The sequence below is a fragment of the Homo sapiens genome, chromosome 2 (genome assembly GCF_000001405.40).
Source record: "Homo sapiens chromosome 2, GRCh38.p14 Primary Assembly".
Lineage (NCBI taxonomy): Eukaryota > Metazoa > Chordata > Mammalia > Primates > Hominidae > Homo > Homo sapiens.
Window position 1 is genome coordinate 181,421,380 of NC_000002.12, and position 27,635 is coordinate 181,449,014.

The window sequence follows — 27,635 nt, forward strand, 5'->3', positions numbered from 1 at the left end:
CTAGATCTATAAAGCAAAGTTACAAGGAGAAAGAAATGAGTGATGGTTTCACTTCAGAATATTTGCACGTGTATTTTGTATGAAAGACTAGATAACAAATGAGGGAGGTTTATTAACAATAAACACTAAATATATTCCACAAAATTATTCAGATATTGAAAGAATAGAGAAAGGCAAATTTCACTTTTAGCTCATTTTATTTTTTTAGATGTTTTAATTGCAGGAGGACTTACATGATCTGAGAAGATACCTGATCTCTTAGAACCTCATTTCAACCTGAACATATGACCTCAGAGGGACTCATTGCTCTTTGGAAACTCTTTAACCTTTACAACAAAGGCACGTGCATGGGATTCATGATTCCTAAAGGCTCGTATTGTTGTGTGTTAAATTGTGTTCTCTCAAAAGATATGTTGAATTCCCATTCCCTAGTATCTGTGAATATATCCTTATTTTTTAAAAAAGATTTCTACAGATGTAATCAGGTTAAAATGAGGCCATAGACGCACAGGGAAAATACCATGTGATAACAAAGGCAGAACTTGGAGTGATGCAGTTTCAAGCCAAGGAACACCAGGGAGTTGTAGCCGCCACCAGAGAGTAGGAGGAAGCAGGAGGAAATCTATCCAGAGCCAAAGAGGGAGCATAGCCTTGCTGACACTTTAATTCCAAATTACTATCTTCCAGATCTGTGAGATAATAAATGTCTATTGTTTTAAAACACCCAGTTTGTGGCATTTTGTTAGGGCAGCACTAGGAAACTAAAACACACAGAAAAGAAATTTTATTTGTAAATGCAGAAACTCTAAGTTAGTTTTCTTACAAGATTCAGGCCTCCACTAAGTGATTTTAGAAAGGTGCTTGGATTGGTGGTCTTTTTCTTGAGGAGTGGCATTTCCAGGTTTGGTGCTGATAGAGAGACTACCAATGGAATCAGTTGTTTCAGTTCAGCAACTGGGTCTTGTCCTTTCTGCCTTGTGTATTGATCTAAATAGATTCCAAGCCCCATGGCTCTGTAAAAAGAAACACTGTCATCTCTCAGAATGATTAAAGATCAGCTTGTAAAATTATTTGTAGAGATACGAATTGTAATTTTTTTTCCTGTTTTAGGAAAACATTGCAACATACAAGTAATTCAGTTAAAATTTCAGCCATCTCCATGGTTGAATAAAATACTTACAGCAACTACATTTTACCCAAAAAGCTTGTCAACTCAATGATAACAAAGATTTCTAGGTATTACTCTTTAACTACAAAATCCACAATTTAAGTAATAACTTCACTTTAGAGTATTTATAATCATATTTTTATATTGTTTTCATAAACAGGAGTCACTTATTTGCTGTTTCACAAATTTAAAAATCAAGGAGTCTATCTTTATGAAGTGATGCAATTGTTTTAAAATCATATTGAGGTGATGGTAGCACAACTCTAAATTTATAGAAATCATCATGTTATACACTTAAAATGAGTCAATTTTATGGCATTCAAATTTTACCTTAATAAATCTACTTAAAAACAAAGATTCTACTCTCCTAGTAGGAAATGGCAGTTCTACAGAATTCCTTGCAGATTCAGCATTTAGTAAATGATAATTGGTGATGGTATTTACATCACTCTGGTAATACTGAAAGCAAAACAGAGATACCATGGATCTATTGCAATTTCGTCTTGCTCAGAGATGAATGTGAATAACTAGGGCCCTGCTGGATGAAAGAAATTCCAGATACAATGACCCTCAGAGAATAGATGTTTCTCCTACTGTCGATCTACAGCATGGGATTATTTTTTTGAAGACATTTCAAGGAATTATCTTTACCAGAATTTGTAGAGGAGAAACATCTCTAGGAATGTTACGTCAAATATATCAATCTCTATAATACTCAATTTTAAACAAGTTGTAAACATGACCAAAAAAATACAAGCGGAATTCCACTCAAATGACACATCGTGTTAGAAAATAATTCTCTATTGCCTAATAGAAATATAAAAGCTATATAGGCCTAAATGCAGAAGTTTCTATTATTTGAGATAGATAAAGCATGCTGATCCTTTTTTAATTACTTAGCTTAATTATAACAGTCTTTAAGATGACAAATCCTTTGAATTGCAAGCAGAAGGAGAAATCATCTAGCATAAGAAATCAGCAAAAGGAGGATTTTCTTTGTAACGAAATCACTGTTGAGTATCTCTTCCAGTTCTCACAGACACATCCGCTTCTGCTTTTAAAAATGGGACTGGAGTATTACTTACCTCAGTGAGGTTTTATGGGGTTCTAGTTTTATAAACCTTCCAAAGTCATAATTCTATGAGAAGTACTATATGCAGAACAGCAATAATTCAGATTTTATATCATATTATGTTTAATTTTGATTTACTAGTTAAGCTCTGAGTTTTCATTTATTTTTGTTGATTTTCCTAACATTGACATTGTCAGAAATAATTTTTCACAATATTTTTATATTTTTTGCTTAAATCATCTTAAAACACTTTTATAGTAAATTATTTGTGTTAATCCATTTTCTGTTTATTAAACAAGTCATATAAAATATGATTTAACTAATATCTTGTGAAATTTTTTTTTTTTGCTCCTAGCAAGTAATAACCTTTGTAACTTGAAATATGATTGCGGCGTATTTGGCCTTATACTTTGAGACTATTTAAATAAATTTCCTGTAAGGGAAAAAATGTTACTTGCAAGTAATTTGATTTTGACTATTCTCTAATGTTAATAGACTTTGATAACATAGAAAAATTCCTTTTTAGCCATTTTTAGTCATTTTATTTTAAACGATGTTAAGTTCATTATTATTAAATATGTTTACCTCAGAAGTAATATCTGAATGTCAAAAAAGATAATACCAAAATAAAAAGTATTAATAATTAGAGTATATCTTGTGTTTATCTGTGACAATAGAACTGTGTTTAGAATTAGAAAGCCTGAGTTAAATCTGACTCCATGGCTAACTAGTTATGTGATTTGGGGGTATCATTAAGCTCTATATAATTTAGTTTCCTCGTTTGTAAAATTGGAGTAAATAAAATATGGCCAATCCACTGATAGGTAGTTATAAGTGTTAAATGAGTTGTATGCAAATGTAGAGTACCCTAGACAGAACTGTTAACAAGATACTAACAAGAACTGTTATCAAGGATAATGTTACTCTACTAATATGTAAATTCTTTCTTTCAGTACTTAAAGATAATGTTGCCTTGGTAAATTCAGGGTATCAATATCAATTTCCTCTTTGCACTGTTCCCAACTATACCTCCGCATCCCCACCCCCGACACACTGGTCATGTGAGAAGGGTTTAGTCAAGGAAATGTTAAAATGTATGACCTTGGAACCACTTGATTGATGTTTGCATCTATAAGAGACTCAATCTATGACTGACAGCTAGCCAATTGCCCTGTTTCATGACATATTTGCTCAGCAATGTTATCATACACTGAGTAAGTGAGTGAGTGGGGGACAGAAGAATGAGAAAGATAATTTTTCAGGAATTAAAATACATCCTATATATTCAGGATGGTGGTGCCCTGCCTTTCTTCCTTAGAGAAGGTGGGCCAATCAATAAACCAAAAAGATGTCACAATCCCACCTACACTGTCAACATTGACACAGGTGTATATGAGCTTCCATTCAGTGACTTTTCTTCCACAAATAGCTCTCAGGCTTACATTTTAGGAAATCTGAGTGTATCAAAGAGTCTTGCTCTTCCAGACTTATTTTACGTGCATCTTCAGTCTGCTCTGGGTGTCAAGAGGCCAATTTCTATAGGCTACATTAACCGTATTCTTACCCTCTTGCTTCTGGTTGACCTTAGTCATTGGGAGCCCCTGACGGAAGATTAAAGAGTACCAGGGGAAGAGATTTGTAAATTTTATTTCATGGCAGACCATGGGCTGTCAGTAACTTGGTTCCCCAACTGCCACAGCTCCTGTGGGGTAGCTCTCCATCGGCTACATCTACAGCTCTCTCTAGGACCCAATAGCTGCTCCCTCACCTTGCCTTTCAAGTCTAGTGGCAATCCTGGTGTTTTACCATCCCTTTTTAGGTACCCATAACGCTCACCTCAAACACTTTTAAATAGTCTCTTTGTTACAGTCAGTAGTTAGTCGGACACGAGCCGGGCAAGAGAGACACCCCTTCACGAATGTGAGGCAACCATCCAGTGATGGCCAGGCAGTTGTTAAGCTGTCTCCCTATAATAATAATTGGTCATAGCTGGTGCCAGGAAGAGGCTGTCTCCCAGTAGATAGAAACAACTGAAAGTAATGATCAGCAGCTTCCCCATAAGATCTCAGGAGTTGGGGAATGAGTTAAAGCATGTGCACTAAGAGGCAAAATGGTGAAATTTTAACTGACAGGAACACTCGACTGGTAAGGGAAGAAAGCCTCAGGGGAGCATGCGTACAACTTCAGTAAACACTGCACATGCGGTCTCTCCCACTTGCTGGTAGGGCACTGCACCTGCAGACAGCCCAACCCAAGAGACAAATCAGGGGATAAGGGATGCAGCCCCCCAGAAACATGCCAATCTATAAAACCCCAAGTCAAAAGTCAAATCACCCACTTGAATCTCTCAAGTCACCTGCTTGGCCCTTTTGAAGTGTACTTTACTTCCTTTCGTTCCTGTTCTAAACTTTTTAATAAACTTTAACTCTTGCTCTAATATTTGCCTGTCGCTTCTTCTGCCTTATGCTCCTTGGCCAAACTCTTTCTTCTGAGGCAGCAAGAATTGAGGTTCTCGCAGACTCGTACAGATTTGGCCCTGCTAACATACTTTGGTGCCATGTGACTTGGATATGTTCCGTAGTGGTAACGCCTTGATTAAATTTATTTCAATTACCCTTTTTGAGCATCCCAACCCTTTCCTGACAGGATCTCTACTGTTAACACTGAGACCAGTTTTTCCATAGACAAATTCTGCTTGCCAAATTCTTTCTCAGGCTAGTCATTGGTGTTTCTTGAGCCTTTGGAACTCAGTCCAATGTCAAATCATTGAGGATTATATTTTCGAGAGGGTAAATTGACTTTATGTGTATCTAAGAGACCACAAAGTATTTTCCACAAATGATTATGTGTAACTAAGCTCATAGCTCATGGATATACCACTGCCCCCATATACATCTTACAAACAATAAGAAAACACTATTCCAAAAATTATATTTCAAAGTTCAAAACAAGCTTAAGGGATTTTTTTTTAATTGCATTTTGGGAATACCTTTCACATACCACCTACCTAACTCCCACTAATTTCTCCAGGTGGGAAGGTAGAATCTACCAAGAAGGGAGGCCAGGGCCCTAAGACCTCCTTGATACATTGCTAAGGCACAAAGCAAAACACTAAAAACCACCTGTGATCTAAATTTATTACGAGGAAAGTGTTGTATAAACCGGTGGGACTCAAGGGTTGCTGTCTGGAAATCCTGATTTACTAAAAGAAGGAGAGATTTGTAGTTTCCATATCAAAGGGTGAGCTGAGCTGTGCAGAGTGGCCTTTGTTCATGTGGCAATTACAGTGTTTGCACACTTCTCAAGTGCTTGAAAAGGGTCCTCCTCCAGCATTAAGGTAGAGGGGGGCACTATTCATTTGCTTAACAAGCTACTTTCCCTCCTCTCTTCCTTTCCCTCCCCTCTAAAGATAATACAAAAAGATAAACAGCACCCTAAGGCCAATTTAAATAATCATAAATTTTCTATCAGAGAAGCTTGAAAAATACCCTTAATTTTCTTTGCCCTTTTTATTTTTTGCATATTTTCAAACACTTATGTGCTCACAGATACTGAGCATCTTAACACAGTGATTTATTTTATGGTGAAGTTTTAGTCACTGTGTAAAGCCTGTAGATTATTTTAACACTGTTTTTCAATAATATTACATAGAGAAGAGGTAAAACTGTTTCATAAAGCTTTCAAATATACAATAATGAGCTATCAATTCAAGTACGAACAGTATAATCTTAGAATAACTAAAATTATTATAACCAAATGTTCTTAAGACATGAGTTTTGGCCGGGCGCGGTGGCTCACGCCTGTAATCCCAGCACTTTGGGAGGCCGAGGCGGGCGGATCACGAGGTCAGGAGATCGAGACCATCCTGGCTAACACGGTGAAACCCCGTCTCTACTAAAAATACAAAAAATTAGCCAGGCGTGGTGGCGGGCGCCTGTAGTCCCAGCTACTCGGGAGGCTGAGGCAGGTGAATGGCGTGAACCCGGGAGGCGGAGCTTGCAGTGAGCCGAGATCGCGCCACTGCACTCCAGCCTGGGTGACAGAGCGAGACTCCGTCTCAAAAAAAAAAAAAAAAAAAGACATGAGTTTTGATGTTTTATCCTTTTTCACTTTTAATGGTGGTACTTTTGGGTAAATTATTGAATTTGTAGATTATTCTCAGAGGGGTGATTTCTGAAAAGCAGAATATTTTACAGTTAAAGAGTTAAACCACTTTTCAGGACAATATAATTATATTCATCTGTTCATCATTCAATCATGTTTGTGCTCAGATTTTCTCTTCACTGTAGAATAGTCAGTGGTGCAGGTTATTAGTTAAGCTACTAGATATGATCATTCATAAGATAAACTAGTGTGTCAGTATTTCCAACTAAGGCAATCAGTCAGGAGTTTCCCCTTTCCCTTTATTTATATTTTTCGGTGTGTTGGTGAATGTCTTATACATTTTAATATGTATAATAATTAAATGAATGCATCTAGTTATAAGTAATTTCATCTGGAATATAAGGCATGCTATATATAAAATTTGAAATTATAAACGCAGTTTGCAAATTATAGGTATGTGCATTCTACCAAGTAAAATATATATTTTTTGCATTTAGAATAAAAAATTATTTCTTGACCTCTTACCCCCCAAAAAATAATCTATAGCAGAAATGGATTTGAGCATGAATCTGAGCAAATTCCTTTTATTGCAATAAATAGCTTCTCATATAAGCTGTTAAATTGTACATTGTGCAATGGTACATTGGTGCTTTCCCAGAAAGGATCTCTATGGTGCTCTGAGTACAGCATGATATTGTCTATGATTGAGGAAACTTAAAATTATAGAACTGTATGTTTAGTCCATGTGTAAATTAAGTTATTGACCACAGACAAATTTATATTGTGGTAGCTTTTATTTACAAAGTCATTATTTTATGTAAACTAGAAGAATGTTGGGATTTGGGGGTTGATTTTTATAGAAGCACAGAGAATTAAATAGTTTTGCAAAAGGGTGGCACTGGACCTAACTCCCTGATACATAAATGTGTAGTTTATTATTACATGGCACTGTAGCACTTTAAAGGTTAATTTAAGAGACTCCATTCAATGATATTAAGGCAGTAGCCTGGGTAGGTAGGCATCCCTAAAGAGGAGCCATTCTGTTTCCAAAATGAGCTGATGGGCTAAAGCAAGTGTTTTAAAACTTTATTTTTAATAGTAAATAATACATTTTGCATCACAACCCAGTACACATTCACACTCACCCTAACATTTATAGAGTGTTGGAAACTAAATTTCCAATGGAAACTAAAATTTCACAAAACAATACTTACTGGAATTATAGTTGAAGTACTATTATACTACTCTATTCTATTCATACTTTTTCATATGTTGACTATGATCCAGTAAGTTATTTCATGTCCCATAAAAGAGTAGCACCCAGCAGTGTGCAAAGTATTAGAAAGTATGTTATAAAACTGGGATGTAGAATGAGGACCTGTTATTCTCTGATTTATAAGTGGAGGTGGCCCAGAAAACATGAACATTCTTTGATCAGTGTCATCTACAAATTCTTTCATTTTTTGCCTCAAAAGACAAGTTGGAAAGTGTGAGGCAGTACTCAGAAACTTGAAGCTTCTGATTCACTGTAACAAGTAAATGGAAACTTCTGAAATCTAAGTTGAATCACGCAATCTCATTAGTTAAATTTGTTTACAGATAGTAGATAGTAATTGATATTTATTTAGTTCATGACCGTTTGAAACAATAAATTAAGCCTACATTTGGGACAATCTCTTACTTCTGGCCATCTAGCAAAACAGCGACAAAGAAATGGGAACATCTCAGCCTCAATTTTCGTTCTTTTTCTGTCTTGGAAGGGGAAGCTGAGCTCTGCTCTCACCTGAGAATCTGAAGGGAAAAAAGTTACCTTTTTTTACACAAGGGAAAATCCAACATTATAGAATGTAATTGAACAGAAACTAGAATAATCTGTGGACTTCTGCTGGAACTTCTGCCAATTAAAAAAAAAATCTATTCATTTGGATTAAGTCACAACTCTGAGGTAAAATAGTGCCTTTTATCAGACATAATGGTCTGTAAGCTTCTAAAAAATTGACTGACTTAATTAAATGCCTTAGAATGAGCCAAATAGGTAAAACTAAATGCAACAAAATTCAGGATTTAGAAGTCAAGCAAGCCAAAATCATGAAGAAAAGAATCCAAAACCGAGCACACATGCAGGTAGCTTCCTGAGGGTTCTGGCGAATGAGGCGCTACCATGAAAGAAGAGCAGAACATGAAAGTGGGGTAGGAGGGCACCCAAGATGGCTTTAGCCCCTGTATTATTTAGCATAAAAGGCCAAATTGTTATAATGCTATTACGGTAAGTCTTCACAGTGGAGTGGCTTTTAAAATGGCTTTTATTTCTTCCTTACATGTCAATCCAGAGCAAATAGGCAGCCTGCTGTGGTCCATACAGTCATTCTGGGATCAGGTCTTTCCATTTTCTCTCTCCATTATCATCTGGACTGTTGCCCTTAACCCCATGAGGGATGTTTCTAAGGAAATTTTCTTTAAATAGTATTTATTCCAGTTTATGGGAAGAGGAAAGAGCATCAACAAATATACGCCCAATGTTTTAAATCCCAGCATTACCAGAAAAGGGTCCTGATCCAGACCCCAAGAGAGGGTTCTTGGAACTCATGCAAGAGAGATTTTGAAGCAAGTTAAGGAATAAAAGGATGGGTCCTCCATAGGCCGAGCAGCCCCAAGGGCTACTGTTTCTCTATTTTGATGGTCATTTCCAGATTATATGCTAAACAAGGAGTGGATTATTCATGAGTTTTCCAGGAAAGTAGTGGGCAATTCCTCTGAACTGAGGGTTCTTCTCTTTTAGACCATATAGGGTAACTTCCTGACATTGCCATGGCTTTGTAAATTGTCATGGCACTGGTGGGAGTATCTTTTAGCATGCTAATGCATTATAATTAGCATGCAATGAGCAGTGAGGACCACTAGAGGTCCCTTTTATCACCGTCTTGGTTTTGATAGGTTTTGGCTGGCTTCTTTATTGCAATCTGTTTTATCAGCAAGGTCTTTGTGACCTGTATCTTGTGCTAACCTCCTGTCTCATCCTGTGGCTTACAATGCCTAACCTCCTGGGAATGCAGCCCAGTAGGTCTCAGCCTTATTTTACCCAGCCCCTATTCAAGATGGAGTAGCTCTGGTTCGAATGCCTCTGACACTAGGCCTGGAAGAGGTACACATCACTTCCATTTATTTTCCAATGGTGAAAATGAAGTCATGCAGTCATGCTTTTCTGAAAGGATTGACAAGGGGTGGCAGTGCTAGAAAATGTAGTTCCTGGTTTTGTGGTCACATCTTCAGCCCAACCGTATTACTAGAGCAGAAGAGGAGAATGAACTTTGGTGAACAGCCAGCAGTCCCTGCTGCAGCAACTTCTAAGCCTTGTTTAACAGAACAGTTCTGTGTCTGTTGTCCAAATGGAGACTGTGACATATGCAAGATGCAGTGACAATGTATAAAGCATTCTTAAAGGTGCAAATTTTACTGGAACATTTATCATTAGGTCATTGACATAAAGCCTTTTGAAAAATAACCTCTCACATTAATTTTAATCCAATTTTTCTATTAGCTTGGAATGCTTTACATTGCTAATATAAAGCTTCTGGGACTAAGGCCATGGTAAAAATGAATGTCTTTAATCGGTTCCAGATTTTTTAAATCTAACTTCTATTATAAATCTTGCTACTTGAATTTAACATATAGAATAACAGACAAGGTATGATAGACAAGCAATAAGCTTTAAAAACATAACAGAAATTAAGCTGAGTGTCAAAGTCTGATGATATCATCTATACTCAAAATATTCTTGCATATAAAGGAAATTGGTTTGAGTCCTTTACATGTAAAAAAATGCCCAACCCAGACAAAATTGTCTCTTAAATTTATGAATAATCTAGACTTAAATTTTAGTGTCTTAGAAGATGTTTTCTAAGGAAGTTTTCTTTAAATAGAATTTAATGTAAGGAAATATCAGTTTTCGGATAAGTGGAAAACTGTAATTTAAAACCCAATAGTTGGAAGACACCTTAGATTCTAATTTAAAATGTTCATTTCAATCTATGATTTTCTCTAAGAATCAGTACTTTTTTCCTAAATCTTTACAGGTAGCTCTCCCTTATATTGGTAAGAAAAAGTCTCTAATTCCAGCATCTAATGTGGTAGAGTTGCAGATGCCAAAGGTGTCAGCAGAGGGCTCAGATGGGTCTCCAGATAGTATTATTAAGGCACAATTTTCAAATCAAGAATTGCAAATGCATGTTATCACCTGAAACTACTTATTTAATTTTTCTTTAATAATTTTTGTTTTTATTTTAATGACTTTTGAGGTACAGGTGGTTTTTGGTTACATGGATAAATTTTTTAGTGGTAATTTCTGAGATTTTGGAGCACCCATCACTGGAGCAGTGTACGCTATACCCAATAGGTAGTCTTTTATCCCTCACCCCACTCCCAGCCATTGCACTCCACACACTGAGTCCTCAAAGTCCATTATATCATTCTTATGCCTTTGCATCCTCATAGCTTAGCTCCCACTTGTAAGTGAGAACATACAACATTTGGTTTTCCAGTTCTGCCTAAGTTACTTCCCTTAGAATAATGCCCTCCAGCTCCATCCAAGTTGGTGCAAAAGACATTATTTCATTCCTTTTTATGAATGAGTAGTATTCTATGGTATATGTATATATATATGCACATTTTTTTTCTTTATCCACTTGTTGGCTGATAGACACTTAGGTTGGTTTCATATCTTTGAAACTGTGAATTGTGCTGCTATAAACATGCATGTGCATGTGTCTTTTTCATATAATGACTTCTTTTTCCCCTGGATAGATACATTTAGTGGGATTGCTGGATCAAATGGTAGTTCTCTTAGTTCTTTAAGGAATCTCTGTACTGTTTTTCATAGTGGTTGTACTAGTTTACATTCCCACCAATAGTGTGAAAGTGTTCCCTTTTCACCACATCCATGCCAATCTATTGTTTTTGACTTTTTAGTTATGGCCATTCACGCAGTAGTAAGGTGTTATCTCGCTGTGGTTTTAATTTGCCTTTCCCTGGTAATTAGTGATGTTCAGCATTTTTTCATATGTTTGTTGGCTGCTTGTATACTTTCTTTTGAGAATTGTCTATTCATGTCCTTGGCCCACTTTTTGATGGGATTATTTGATTTTTTCTTGCTGATTTGTTTGAATTCCTTGTAGATTCTACATATTATTCCTTTGTAGGATGCATAGTTTGTGAATATTTTCTCCCACTCTGTAGGTTTTCTGTTTACTCTGCTGATTATTTCTTTTGCTATGCAGAAGCTTTTTAGTTTAATTAGGTCCCACTTATTTATTTATTTTTTGTTGCATTGCAAATTCAGTTTTTTAGATTTGTTAACATCCAATAAATTCAGCCCCATCTCTGGGTCTAAATGAGATCAAAGATGTCAATAAGATTTTTGCTATTCAGAGTTTTCATTAGGTCTCCAAATGAGTACCACTACTCTGTATTTTTTGTTTACAAACAACCCATCATCTTCTATTTTAACTGGCATATGAGTTTCTCTTTTAACTTCATAGATTTCATTCATGTAATCCACATATATTTGCTAGTCTACAATGTAAGACTGTTGTAGGTAATGACATTCAGTGATTAGCAAGATCAACTCATGTTTCAATATTTTAGTGGAGGTGACAGAATATAGACAAGTATATAAAGGACAAAAAGAAAACAGATAAGAAAAATAAAGCAGTGTCTTAGAGAGTCTGATCAGGAACATTGTCCCTGAGGAGGTGATACATGAACAGAAATAGGGGGGAAAGTCATGTGAAAATATGAAGAAAGAAACTTTCAAGCAAAAAAAAAGAAAGTGCCAATGGTATGAGATTAAAAAAAATAACCTCGCATTTTGGAGGAAGAGCAAAGAGCCGAGACTAGAATAAAATGAACAAAGCATGAGATGAGATTGTGATATAGTTTGGCTGTGTCCCCACCCAAATTTCATATTGAATTGTACCTCCCATAATTCCCAAGTGTCATGGGAGGGACCCAGTGGGAGATAATTGAATCATGGGGGATTGAGGGGAGTCTTTACCATGCTATTCTCATGATCATGAATAAGTCTCACGGAATCTGATGGTTTTATAAAGGGGAGTTCCTCTGCACATGCTCTCTCTTGCCTGCCACCACAGTAAGAAGTGACTTTGCTCCTCATTTGCCTTCCACCATGATTGTGAGGCCTCCCTAGCCATGTGGAACTGTGAGTCCATTAAACCTCTTTTTTTTTTTTTTTTTTTTTTTTGCAAATTACCCAGTTTTGGGTATGTCTTTATTAGCAATGTGAAAACAGACTAATACAGGTTGCAAAAGTTCACAGGACGTTTAAGCCATGACCAAGGGCATGGAGTTTATACTAAATGAAATGGAAAGCCGTTGGAGGGTTTGTAGCAGGGAAGTAACATGACTTGATTTATGGTTTTAAATGATCCTCCTGGCAGCCATCTGGAGGACTAATAGCAAGGGAATAAGAATGGAAGCATCAGCCCAAAGCTTCTGCAGAAATGAGAAAAGATTTTGGTTTAAACCAGTATGAAAGCAGTGAAAGTGATGCATACAATTTTCTTAAAAATTTCCTTTGGGCACTGTTAGTTACCTTCCCAGAAGCCCTCCCTACTTCCATTTCTTGCTAATAGTGCTCCAATGTTATGTGATGCATCAGCCCCAAGTGAAGAGTCACAATTGGGCCACTTGTGTGTAAGGATGTTTCAACATATAGAAGTCGATGTTATTTACTACATAAATAGACTTAAAAACAAAATCATTTGGTCATCTCAATAGATGCAGAAAATACTTTCCATAAAACTCAACATCTCTTTATGATAAAAAGCCTCAATAAACTAGACATCAAAGGAGCATACTTCAAAATAATCAGAGCCATCTATGACAAATCTACAGCCAACATATTGAACAGGGAAACATTTAAAGCATTTCTCCTAAGAATGCGACCAAGACAAAGATGTCCGCTTTCACCCCTCCTGTTTAGCATAGTAGTGGAAGTCCTAGCCAGAGCAATCAGGCAAGATAAAAAAATAAAAAGCACTCAAATTAGAAAAGAAGAAGTCAAATAATCTTTCTTCACTGGTGGTATGATCTTTATATCTAGAAAATTCTAAAGATTCCTTCACAAGACTCCTAGGCCTGATAAATGACTTCAGTAAAATTTTAGGAGACAAAATTAACACACACAATCAGTTGCATTTCTATACACCAACAATGCTCAAGCTGAGAACCAACTTAAGAAAGCAATCCCATTTGTAATCCTGCCCACCACCGCCCCCAAAAAAAGAAACTATCAAAACGTCTAGCAATAAATGGAGGACTTTCACCTCCATTTAACCAAGGAAGTGAAAGACCTCTATACGGAGAACTACAAAACACTGTGAAAGAAACTGGACAAACAAATGGTAAAACATCCCATGCTCATGGATAAGAAGAATTATTATTAAAATGACTATACTTTCTAAAGCAATCAACAGATTCAACACAATCCCTATCAAATTAACAATTTCCTTTTTCACAGAATTAGAAAAAGTAATTCTAAAATTCATATGGAAGCAAAAAGAGCCTAAATAGCCAAAGCAATCCTAAGCAAAAAGAACAAAGCCAGAGGCATCACATTACCCAACTTCAAACTATACTACAAGCCTATAGTAACCAAAACAGCATGTTATTGATACAAAAATAGACATACAGATCAATGGTATAGAATAGAGTACCCAGAAATAAAGCCACATAGCTACAATCCACTTATCTTTGACAAAGGCAGCTAACATAAACAATAGGGAAAGGACACCCTACTCAATAAATAGCGCAAGAAAACTGGCTAACCACATGCAGGAGAATAAAACTGGACCCCTACTTGTCATCCTATACAAAAATTAACTCAGTATGTATTAAAGACTTAAATGTAAGACCTCAAAAAATAAAAATCCTAGAAGAAAACCTGGGTATACTCTTCTGGACATGGGCTGAGGCAAAGAATTTATGACTGAGACCTCAAAAGCAAACAAGACCAAAGCAAAATTGACAACTGGAACCTAATTAAACTAAAGAGCTTCTGCATAGCAAAAGAAACTATCAACAGAGTAAGCAGACAACCTACAGAATGAGAGAAAATATTTGCGAACTACGTAAATATTTTTTGACAAAGAACTAATATCCAGAATATATAAGTAACTTAAACAAATCCACAAGAAAAAATAAATAACCGGATTAAAAAGTGAGCAATGGACATGTACAGATACTTTTCAAAAGAAGGCATACAAATATCCAAAAACATGAAAAAGTGCTCAACATCACTAATCATCAGAAAAATGTAAATTAAAGCCACACTGAGATACCATCTCATACCGATCAGAATGGGTATTAATAAAAGTCAAAAAATAACATTTCAAAAAAATTATAAAATTGTTTTCAGAAAGAAAAAGGAATACTTATACATTGTTGGTTGGAATGCAAATTGGTTCAACTACTGTGTAAATCAGCATAAAGATTCTCAAATAACTAAAAATAGAACTACCATTTGACCCAGCAATCCCACTATTGGGTATCTCCCCAAAGGAAAATAAATAGTTTTATTATAAAGAAATAGTTTTATTATAAAGATACCTGCCCTGGCATGTTCATCACAGCACTATTCACAATAGCAAAGTCACAGAGTCAACCTAAGTGTCCATCAACAGTTGAGTGGATAAAGAATATATATATATATATATATATATTCTTTATATATATTAAGAATATATAAAGAATATATAAAGAATAATATATATACTATATATAAATATATGTATATATAAAGAATATATATATATTCCATATTCTTTATATATTAAGAATATATGTGTATATATACTGGATAATTTTATATATATATATATATAATGGAATACTATGCAGCCATAAGAAAGAATGAAATCAAGTCATTCACAGCAACATAGATGGAGCTGGAGGTCATTATTTTAAATGAAATAACTCTGAAACAGGAAATCAAATACCATATATCCTCCCTTATAAGTGGGAGCTAAACAATGGGTCACATGGACATAAAGATGGAAATAATGAACACTGAGGATTCCAAAATAGGGGAGGATGGAGGGGGTGAGAGTTGAAAATTTACCTATTACATACAATGTTCACTATTTGAGTGATGGGTTTTCTAAAAGCCCAACCTCACCATTATGCAATATGCTGATGTAACAAACGTGCATGTGTGCCCCCAAATCTAAAATAAACAAGAAAAGATTGGTCCAATTATGTCCTGATCATCCCATTCTCCCTTGTTGACCATTGACTTGCATGGCATCCCACACAGCTCAGCATATCCTCCTTGTCCAAAAAAGACTTCAGAGATAGTCAACTGGGGAAATTTCTGCAAAGACTGTCACCTTACTAATGATAAAAGGAAAGGCATTCAGCCTAGTTCTTCCCTAAACCAAAAACTTGATTAATATGGGAACAGGTAGAAGAGTGGCAAAAGCAAACATTTTCCAAATTAAATGGACAATAAATTTGTGATAAACAGAGTGCAAAAATTGTTTTCATAACTTTTCAAATAATGATATGCTTTAGTTCTCTACAAAAGAGAACTAAAGTACCTAGATTTTTTTCAAACTTTATGTGACCATGGAACTCTCATTTGGGAAATAATAATCTTGTTCACAGAATCACTCTTCTTCAAAACACCGTTACTGGACAAAGGAGTGAATTTTACAGAATCAAATAGTATTTCTCAAAATCATGGCATATCAGTGATGTGCTTTGAAAGCCCACAGCAGTCTGTAAACATCTAAAAATTTAAGTGTTAAAATCTTTCTTGGTGAAAAAGATGAACTACTTGGGAGAATTTACCAAAATTAATGCTTAATGTTAAGATTTGGATTCTCAAAAATGTTATTAATTCTCAAGAATTAGAAACCTTGTTTATCTCAAAGTTCCTGTAAAGATATAGCTAGAAAATTGCTCCTTGTATTTTTCCCTTTCCATTATTAATTAAAATCATTATAAATTTCAGTTATTAGGGAAGCTGCTATCCTCCTCCTTCTCTTCCTTCTCCTCCAGAGGCAGGCAGGCAGACCCACAGGGAGGAAGGAAGAAAGAAAGAAAACAGGTAAAAGTATTTTTTATACATAGTTCCGTTTGGTGGTATTTCAAAAAGGGCATTTAATTTAAGTTAAGTATCTGTAACTACACTAGAAATTTTACCATGACAGTATCCAGACAGGGAGAGACAAGATTTCTAACTATAATTCATTGGATCTGGTCATTAAAAAATAGCATGCCACAAAATTTTATCTCATCTATAAAAAAGGATTTATATGACTTCTAACGAAATGCAAAATAGATTTTCATTACATAGTCTAATTTAATTTTTCAACCACAAGATATTGACCCAAAATATTGATTTACACTTAGCTGCTCAGTTCAGATTTTCTTTGCTGGCATTTCTGACAATGGCGTTTATACTTCACTGGTATAACTGTGTAATGAGATTCAAGTAAGAATACTCACTTAAAACTTTACTACCAAAGTGTGATCCATAGCCTAGCAGTTTGGTATCATCTGGGACATGTTAGAAATGCAGAATCTCAGGCCTCACCCAGACCTACTAAATCAGAATTTGCATTTTAACAAGATCTCCAGATGATTCACACCCACATTAAAATTTGAGACTCACTGTCTTGGAAGAGATTCTCCAGGTGTTTTGCTATCATTGGGGATTGTTTTGTCACCACCTGGGGGCGATCAGCAAGTTTTCCTAAGAACTTGACACTGCAATTTCTGCTTAACCACTTAAAATGTATGACCTACAACTGACTGAAAATACTGCTTAGAGTGCAATATACATAACAACTTTTGTGCAGATCTTACATTCTAATGTTGAATAGAAAATTAATTCCACAACTTGCCTATCTTCTCTCACTTTAGTAGAGCACAAGTTTACAAAGCGTGTGTGTGTGTGTCTGTTTCACAGTCACTTTACATCCCTAGTTAACATCAGAGCTGCCTTGGCTTCAAGTTTACCAGTTAGCAAAAATGCAAACAGCCAAGTCTGTGGCCACTAAATTCTCCAGAATAAGATTCCCACTTTATTGAAAGTATTTGGTTCCTTGGAAATGCTTCAAATTCTCCTAGATTCTGAAATCTCCAAGTTTATTTAAAACTCAACCTGCTCTCAGAAATATCACCAGGGCACCTGGGTGGGATGAGCTCACTTACAATTTCGAGACCTGATCTTCTCAAAGAAGATCTGACCTTCTCTGTCCGCCTATCTGAAATGCAACAACATAATTACATGCTGACCGCTCAGCCCAAGCACTGTGCCATGGGGGCAGTGAGACCAAGAAGACTTAACATCTGAGAATAGAGTCTGGCGTGTCATGTCCAAGTACAACCATGTCTTCGGCTGCATTCAGTATTTCCCTGCTGAGCCCAAAACTTGGCTTCTGTTGCCTCCTGCTTTTTCCAACCCTCCTTAATATAGCTACACTCTCCATGTGAGGTTTTTAAGCACTATGATTCATATGCCTATCACCTCCCTTCCTAAATTTGAAGAAACTGAAGTAGCTGGAATTTGGGGTAGTAAAGCTACCATGGTCCATTGTCATGCTTAGTGTCATCCTAAGAGGAGACAGGAAAATTAAAAATTAACACCAAAGCTGGTAGATGGAGATTTGTGGGAGGGTTTGGTATCTGGTAGTTATAGAAGAAAAAGAGAAGATGAGGCCTATGTCAGCAGAAAAGAGTGGGTAGGGAAATGAGATAACCAGCTGTATGGAAAAACCAATTTTCAGAACGAGCAGACTTCCTTTCCAGAGACTGATTTTTGGTCTTCATGCTGGTCCAGAGAATAAGCCTGTGATGATCTCAAAGGGCTGCCACTCAGGCCTCCCTCTTGGATAGAGCAAACATGCAGCCCCAGGGTCAGTTTCGAGACTAATTTTTCTCACCCATCTTCCCCCAGACACTCTAAGTCTTACAAACTATGTGTAACCCCTAATTGCTAAATCCCCGTTGTATTTGACCTGAAAGTCACATTCACGTGTAGGCCACTTTCTTCTTACAACTCTACACTTTCGGTCTTCTGAGACATTTTCCTGGTTTTCCTAGCTCTCTAATGATTCTTTCTTAGATCTAATTATGGTTTGCTTTTCCTCTGCTGGATCCAAAAGTTTATTATCCTCCAAGATTCTTTCCATTGCTCCCTTCTATTTTCCTTCCATATCTCTCCATCATCCACCTATATGTTAATAATGCTACTGAGATAATATCTTTAGCAAATATGTCTCTTCTGAGTCCCAAATTATATATATTAATTGTCTCTGGAACACATTTACTTGCATATCTCAGAAAATTCAAGCTCAACACCCTAATCAACTTTACCCTAATTATCCTCCCATTGAGACCTGTTCCCCTCCTTTACACCTTATCACACTGAATGGCATTACCCAGTCCCCCAAAACTGTGGACACCATGCTCAAGTTCTCCCTTGCCCTCACCCCGTCCCTTTCTCTTTAGCCATTTAAGATATTTAATTAGGGCTCTTGGCATCTTTCGACTATTCTAATAAATCAGTCATTTAACTAGACTGTCTGTTAATTTCCCATCGCTTCAATCTATGTAAGCATTTTAGTCTACTGCATAAGGTAATTTTTTCTGACTTCACTAAAAATCCATACTTCTTAGCATGGCATATAAGCTTGACACAATCTAAACTTTGCCTACCTCTTCTGTCTGTTCCCACCACTCCCTGTTCTATGACAGGTGCATAAAGTTTCCTGAGTTCACACTGTCTTAGTGCTCCACCTTATCTCCCTGGTAAGCACCTTCCCATACGGAGAGATTCAGGTGTTCCCCTCTGATAAAGCTTTACCTGACTCTCAGAATTGGCCACTCCTTTCTTTGTTCCCACACAGAATATTGCACTTTTTTAAAAGTATAGTATTTTATTTATTTGTTTTACATCAATCTCATTTGTACATACAGTAATTTCCTTGAATGTGGGATCCTGCCTTATTTATGTTTGTATTTGTAGCACCAGGCACACCTGGCATAGGGTAGGTGCCACTAAATATTCACAGAGAAAGAATGACTAGGCATAGAATGCTTTTGAAGAAAACAGCGAACTTGTATAAACTTTACTTGATGATGCCTAAAATTTGTCCATGAGGACAAAGCCAGTTTTAAAATCAAAAGCCTCTGGTAGACTGAACAGTATTTACAGTATAGGCTAAAGGGATAATATCAGAGTCATTCTTGTTGTGATAGGGGGATCCTGAAAGAAGCAAATTCGAGTTCTAAGTAAACTGACACTGACAGGTGGTGAGGGAGGTTGCAAAAGAAGAGGGGGGCAGATTTTAATCTGTTAACAGACATCTGAGTTACAAATCAGAGGGATATAGAAGAACAAGAAGGCTGCCTTTACGTGTTTCTTTCTTCAGTTCAACTCCCATACAGCATCTCTTTTGATGTTATTTACAAGTCAGACTATGATCTCACTTCAAACAATACTCTTAGCCTGTGTACACCTCCTGTCTCTTTTAACTGAGTTCTCTTGTGAAAAATAGGGAATTTCTCTGCGTTGAAGTCAAAAGCCCTTTGGAATTCCTGTCTGTGAAAGATTATCAAATGAGGTTATAAAATCTTGGACTTTTGTTGTTATTGTTCTTAAAGACAGTTCTCCTGAATTAAAAAAATGTCTGATGCTACTGACAGTCTGATTTAGAATGTGAGTCTATTATGAGGACAGCGAGAGAGGTTTAATCCTGTCCCCACCCCTTATTCTGCTCTTGTAGTTTTTATTTTATGAAAAACCTAAGGGACTCAAAGTTACACAAATGCCCATTGGCAGTATCTACTGTTAATACCAGCAATGATCCCATAACAAGGATTCATTTCAGTCAAGCCACTAAAATTTTATTTGATTCAATGAAAATTTTTTCAGTGGAGCTATGAAAGCATTTTTGCCCATCCCCTAAACTATTACTTGTTGAAAACTGAATTGAATTTCATAAAGATTTATGAGCACTTCCAAAATCACTTAACAGCCAAAAGCCATGCGGTAACTTCACCCATGTTTGAATAAAACGTGACGCTGGTGGAAGTTACAGTTGTAAAAAAGAGTGGTAAGATTAGATTTGAACCATTTCCACCCAGACCTTGCTTTATCTACTGCAGGGCCCACAGCTCTGCTGTTAGTCCATATCTGCTGGCCCTAAAGAATTATATAAGATTGCTAAAACCATGGGCCTTTACAGTGTCAGCTTATTAAATTTTAGTATAACACTCATAAATATGGACAGAAATATAGGAGGGGCAATTATGTCTCAAGGGTAAATAACCTGATAATCATTCTAGAGTTTGAAATAGATTTATTTTTATATTTATACTTGAATATAGGAAGGTCAGTGGTCCAGTAATTATTTTAAATAAAAAGTTTCATTGTGAAAACTGAACAAACATAGATCTAAAAATTCATTCTGCTTTATTTCATTCCTTCAGGTCCATTTTTTAATATTTAACTCATGCACGTGAACAGCACTAAGCTAATTAGAGTGGCTTCTCAAAACTGTCTTGATAAAGAGAATGATTAAGAGTTTGAATTTCCAAGACTTTCTTAATTTACAAAGAAAACAAATTGTCAATCTAAAATGAGCTAAGCTAGGAATTACATAAATAGGTGCTATCACCATTTAAAGGTAAGATTTCTTGGAGTAATCATAGGTGATTACTCAGGGTAGACTTTTTCTGATGTCTTCAGATACTGAGCTTCTCTTCTCTATACACAAATAACATATGTGTGTCTCTTCTCTATACATTGGGGGAAAAATAGTTTAGAAAAATAGTACATTTGGATACCTAACCAGACCTTGAACAAACACTGTCTCACTTGCTTGTTAAAATGTTATTGTTAACATGTTCCCTGGGCAATCTCCATATCTTTTTTCTTTTTTTTTTTTAAGACAGTCTTGCTCTGTCACCCAGGCTGGAGCACAAAGGTACAATCACGGCTCACTACAGGCTGAAGCAATCCTCCCTCCTCAGCCTCCCGAGTAGCTGGGACTATAGGAGCATGCCACCATGGTGGTTAATTTTTGTAGTTTTTGGAGAGACAGGATTTTGCCATGTTGCCCAGGCTGGTCTTGAACTCCTGGGTTCAAGCAATCCTCCCATCTCAGCCTGGCAAACTGCTGAGATTACAGGTGTCAGCCACTGGTCCCCACCAATCTCAGTATCTTTAAGATACCAAAGACAAGTCATAGAAGTTTCAGCTCTGTTCACAGCCATTTCCCAGGAACATATGGACCTGTTGCTGTTTGGTTAGTTTCCACCTGTTTCTGAAACCTTACATGTATGTTTTATACCATTGTCTATCATTTCATTGCACCATAAAATGCTGCTTAGATCTCAAGCTTTACTGCAGCTTGAGAAAATGTATTTTATAAAGATCTAAACAAGTATAATTTATTATTATTATGATCATTTACCAGAAGGCTACATATGTAAGAGCGCAAAGGAAAGGGAGTTTTAGGAAAGGCAATTGCAAAACACTAGAAAAGAGTGTTATCCAACAGTTCTGGAAAGAAAAGTTAGTTTCCTAATATGCTTACACTTAACGAGGCCATAATATGCTAAGAAGATGATATAGATAGATAGTTGATTACAGATATTGATATATAGACAGATAGATGTTGATGTTTATTCATGATTCATGTATTTCTTCTTCTTGTTGCATCTTCTCACCTTCTTGAATAGAGTTATCAACTGACTGAATGCTCTTTACCTGTTCATCTATCTGTGTATGGTTTTCTGATTCCTATTGTGTGAAAGAAGAGAGTTCTCTCTGAAATAATAAGTGTTCTCTTGCTGCCTATGAAAACTAAAAACAATAACATTTTGGAAATGAATATAACTTTAGTGACAATCTGATTTACCCCTTTCATTTTAATAACAAGACAGTTGTAAAAATACAAGGGCAGTTCCATTATTAGGAACTTCAGGTCACTCAAATCCCTGTTTAGTTTCTGAAACTGGTTTTAAATAAGCCTGCAGATTTTTATGTGAACCATGAAAAGAATAAGCAATATTTTTACATTCTACAAGTAAAATTTTTATATTATTATTTTGTTGAATTAGTATTACCAACCTTGTAGACAGAAGTAAAAAAAAGATTTGAATTTAAAATATTTACTTTTATCTGCCATTCTAACAAGTTTTTTTTAAAGAAATGAACAACATACAGTTTTAAAATCAAAATAGTTATTCTAGTTTCTGTAAACAGAGGAAATTTACTTTACTGGGTCAATACACTGTGTAACTGTTATAAACAAAGCTGATTTCCAGTGTATACCAAAAATAGCACATCCAAGCTGTCTGCTGGTCTTTCAATGCACAGACATGAGAGAGCTGATATTATTTTTTATTTGTAGTAATATGCACAATACTTGACTAATGAAAATTATAATTATTTTCCCCAAAATTCTGCTGGGTTCTAAACCCTTCAGGAACTTCAGTGCATTAAATTATTTCTCTTATTTCCTGGTATTGTTCTTACAAAGTCGTATAGCCTCATTTCACTGTTTTTTCTTCCTATTTACTGATGATATTTTAGTCTTTCATGTTCTGTTATCCTTCTATCTAGTCTACAAGGACTAATGTTTATGTCCCCTCAGTTTGGTCTGGTGAAAGAAAGAAATAAAGAGAGAGAAAGAGAAAGAAAAAGTAAGAATAAGTTTAAAGACTAATATTTAACTAAATTTATTTTAGTCCCCCATACAACCTTTTGCTACTTTGAAAATCCCACTATTATATTATATTTTTTGTGCTATATCCACAACATATTTTGTAATTTGTTTGAAATTGTTTCCTAGTTTTGAGTTAGCTTGCCAGCTATTGATGCATAAGAACATATTGTTAGCTTGTTTTGTGTTTTCAGGATGCTTGGATATATGTACATATGCTTGCTGTGTGATCTTACTTTTATAATTATACTTTTTTCACCATATTCCTTTCCAAGATGCCTGGAACTCTGTTTTGTCAAGATGAAGCCATGTGTATGAGAATCTTGCGGTAAAACACCGTTGTGTAGCAGTTTTACATAAAATAGATTCTAACTCCTGATAATAAAGGAAAGTGATGCTGCAGACTCTCTGTGTATCTTGTGAACCTTAGAGAGCCAGTGTGGACCAGTTGTTAAATCATCCCAGTGTATAAATTCAATCTTTCAGGTCAGATTACTTATGAGATAAAAGGTTGTCACATAATAACTATGTGCCCTGAGAGGAGAATGATTTTATACCAAGTCTTTTATATACTGTAACAAAAGGAGCAATTGTTTCTTCTTTTGAACTGAAGCATGAAATAGACTTGGTTTTAAAAGTAGCAGTAGTTTCAGGAGTTTTGAAAAGAAGTGTAAAAAGTAATATTTATCAAAATTACCCTCCTACTGCAGAAAAATTGCCCTGAACATCCCATCCAGAAGAAACCTCCCCATCCGTTCTCTATTATGCACCATCTTGTGTGGCATTTGACAGCTACTGGCTTGATCTGTCAATTTACCAAAGTAAAGGGAACATGCTGAGAGGGAAGGGAAAATAGATTATGTTTGGGGTGGATAGAAAGAAAGTGAGTTTGAAGCCAAACATGGATAGGATTAAGCCCCAGGCGAGAAATTCTAATTTATTTGGGTTGAGTAGAGGGAGGAACTATTAGGATACTCCTGAGGACAGATTTGAGAAATGACATATTGATAGTTACGCTGTAGAAAAAAACCTACTTGTATATATTAAAAAGTGACAAGCATATACTGAAAAGTGACAAGAAAAAATGGAAAGATTTATTTATTATTTATTACCATGTTGCCCTTTTGGAATGCCCATCTAAATAAGATAATGATCCCAACACTTTTTGCCATGGTATGCATGGCATCTCTCAGTAACACATAACAGGTGTTCAATAAATTTGTTGAATGAGTGAATAAGTATAAGCAAATACAGACATAAATAGCTCTTCATTAACTAACATAATCTTCCACATATATGTCATTGCCTTGATTTCAGATTTTTATACATCGTTTATTTCTGTAGGTAGTTCATTTCTAAAAAAATGATAATATTCATGATGATGATGCTAAAAGGGAAGAAAAGAGTGATGAAGGAGAAAGGTCTATTTACTCATTATTTATTATGTGCTAAACATTGTATTATGTGCTTTGCCCTCATGTACTCATTTTCCCCATCCAACAAGAGAAAACTTAATTATACAAATAAAAACCAGGTTTGAGCAATACTAACAAATCACTCAAGGTTCTGATTGACAGTTGTAGCAGACGCTGTTGATGCCCTACTCCTTGGGCCACATAAGCCCAACCTGTGGCTGGGTAGACAATCTCATAACATTGGCAGCTTCCTAGCTCCCACGTTTTTGTCTCTCATTGCTGCCTGGGCATACCTGGGACCTTGCTTGCTGGCGAACAGGTACAATCTGCAAGTGTGGGGAGGTGATCTCTCCACCAGTGGAGGATGAGAGTCCTTAGATAGATGCCTCAGCCTCTCAGTCTTTCAGGGATCAGGGATTCTGAGCCATGCCTCATACACTTTCTCAGCAGGTTTCAGAAGTCTTACAATTGAGGAGAAGCCTTTGTTTCATATTTCGTTTAAAGCAACCTTGTCATTGATACCTATATTAAAGCATCAGGGCCAAGTGTGGTGGCTCATGCCTGTAATCCCAGCACTTTGGGAGGCCAATGCAGGTAGATCACTTGAAGCCAGGAGTTCAAGAGCAGTCTGGCCAACATGGTGAACCCATCTCTACTAAAAAAAAATACAAAAAATTAGCTGGGTGTGATGACATGCACCTGTAGTTCCAACTACTCAGAGAATCACTTTAACCCAGGCTTGGGAAACAGAGTGAGACTCTGTCTTAAAAAAAAAAAAAAAAAAGCATCCAGAAATGTGGTCTAATAGTCTGTATCTGGATAGAAGAATTGAGCTTCTTGTTTCTGGTTGGGAATTTCAGTACTATTTAAAAAAAAAAAAAAAACTATCATCTGAGTTTGGATGCCCTAAAAGCTGACCTTGAGGCAAGCACTTGGGTGTAACAGTTTATTGTGGGCAAAGGGATGTCTTAGAAAGTTAGATTAGAGAGAGGCAGAGAAATTGTAAAAAATGTTTTATGCATCTCTAATTGTTTTACATGCTTTACCTTAGTAATTTTTTAAAATCTAATTTTAAAAAGTGTAACAAAAAACACTACTTGCCAGACGTATCTACATGAATGTCACACCAATACCTCAGACTTATCTCTAGAACCCAGCGAGCACTATCTAAACACACTCTCCATCTCCCCCAACACCATGCACCCCTCCACCCCACCCTGTTCTTCCCCATTCCAACTCTTCCATCTGGTTGCTTTATGTTTTGTTTTTCATGATATTACCAGTGTCTCTGTCACCAGGTCTAAAAATGCCGGTCATATTTTACTTCCTTTTAGTACCAACACCACACAATACACATCAGGTTTTTTCCCCAATGCCTTACGAGTTCTTTCATTTTCCCTGCCCTGCTCTTTATGTAAGTTTGGGTCTTGAAACTGCCTTTATGCCTACACCATTTATCAGCAACCAACTGTCTTTTGTCTCCTCATTGTATATGATATTTAATTTGACTACATTATATTATCTAAGGTATATCATATCTTCCTTTGTAAATTATAAACTGAGATTAGGACTCACTTTTTATACAGTTTCATATCTGCCAAAGGACTTAGCGTATTGTTTTGCATGTAATAATTAATGAACATAAACCTATACATTTCCAGCTTATGACATTAATGATGTAAAAAGCCAAAATCATGTAAAGGCCATTTAAAAAATACAGAGCACCTGCTACTTGCCAGGTAGCATATAAAGTGCTAGAGATATGGTGGTAAACAACAGGAGCAAAACAAAGGATGTTTTCTACTCTCAAATTCTAGTGAGAAAGATATAATGAAAAAATATATGATTATAAATTAAAGAGTTCTGGAGATAATGAACAGGATTGTCTGGCAGATAATATTATAGTGACCTATTTTAAATTGGATGGGCAGAAAGTCCTCTGTGAGGACATCTTTAAGCTGAGATGGAAGAAAGAGAAAGAGGAATTATGTGAAAAGTCAGAGGCTATGTGTCCGAGAAGAGGTAATAATATGGTAAAGACCTTGAGGATAAAAGAAACCTTGATGCACTTAAGGAAATTAAGAAAGGCCAATATGACAAAAGCCAAGTGATCCAGGGGGAGTGACCAATGCTAAGGCTGGTGCTGTAGTCAGAAGCCAGATCATAGGGTCCTTTTAGGCCACGTTGAGTGTGGTTTGTACTACAAGAAAGCGATGGAAAACTATTTAAAGGATTTAAGCAAAGGAGTAGTTGCCTGATTCATTTAGAATCTTGAAAGTTCACTTTAGCTTCTGTGCAGAAATTTGATGAGGTGGGGGAATGACAAAGGGAGACCACGTAGCAGATTCTTAAATAGCCCAGATGAAATTATCTTGTGAAATGGTAGTAGCTGTGCAAAAGAAGATTCACATAAGATGGGCTTGAGATATATTTTAGAGGTCAAATTGATAGGACCTTGTGACTGATGGATTCTTTGTTTAAGTTAGAGGGAGGTATTACTTTCCAAATTTCTGGCTTGAACAACTGGTCAGATAGAGTGCCCAGTTGTTTTGAAAAGAAAGAGATTGGGTGGAAGAATAGTTTAGATGAGAAGTCAGGGAACCAGAACTCAGTGTTAGGTATGTTACGCGCACAATGCCCACTATACATCCAAGTGGAGATGTCTGGTAGGCAGTAGAACAAATGAACCCGGAACTCTGAAGAAAGGTCAAGGCTGGAGACATAAACTGGAGACTCATGATATTTGTTTATTTATTTCATGTCAAACAATTGAGGGTATATTTAAATAACTCATGAAATAGCTGATTGATTAACAGATATTGCAACATGTATATAAAAAAATCAAACTTTTTTTTATTATTATACTTTACGTTCTAGGGTACATATGCACAACATGCAGGTTTGTTACATATGTACACATGTACCATGTTGGTGTGCTGCATCCATTAACTCATCATTTACATTAGGTATATCTCCTAATGCTCCTTCCCACCTCCCTGCACCCCATGACAGGCCCCGGTGTGTGATGCTCCCCTCTCTGTGTCCAAGTGTTCTCATTGTTCAATTCCCACCTATGAGTAGGAACATGTGGTGTTTGGTTTTTTGTCCTTGTGATAGTTTGC

At 36.2% G+C, this 27,635-nt stretch overlaps 1 long non-coding RNA gene across 1 annotated transcript; it reads right to left on the minus strand.

The window, feature by feature from the left end:
* Nucleotides 1-769: 769 nt before the first annotated feature.
* Nucleotides 770-4,321, minus strand: LOC124907913 (uncharacterized). The gene is made up of 2 exons (XR_007087327.1): nucleotides 4,077-4,321; nucleotides 770-1,013 (listed from the first exon to the last, which is right to left on the minus strand). It is a non-coding gene; the product is annotated as an uncharacterized LOC124907913 (long non-coding RNA).
* Between the last annotated feature and the right edge of the window lie 23,314 nt (nucleotides 4,322-27,635).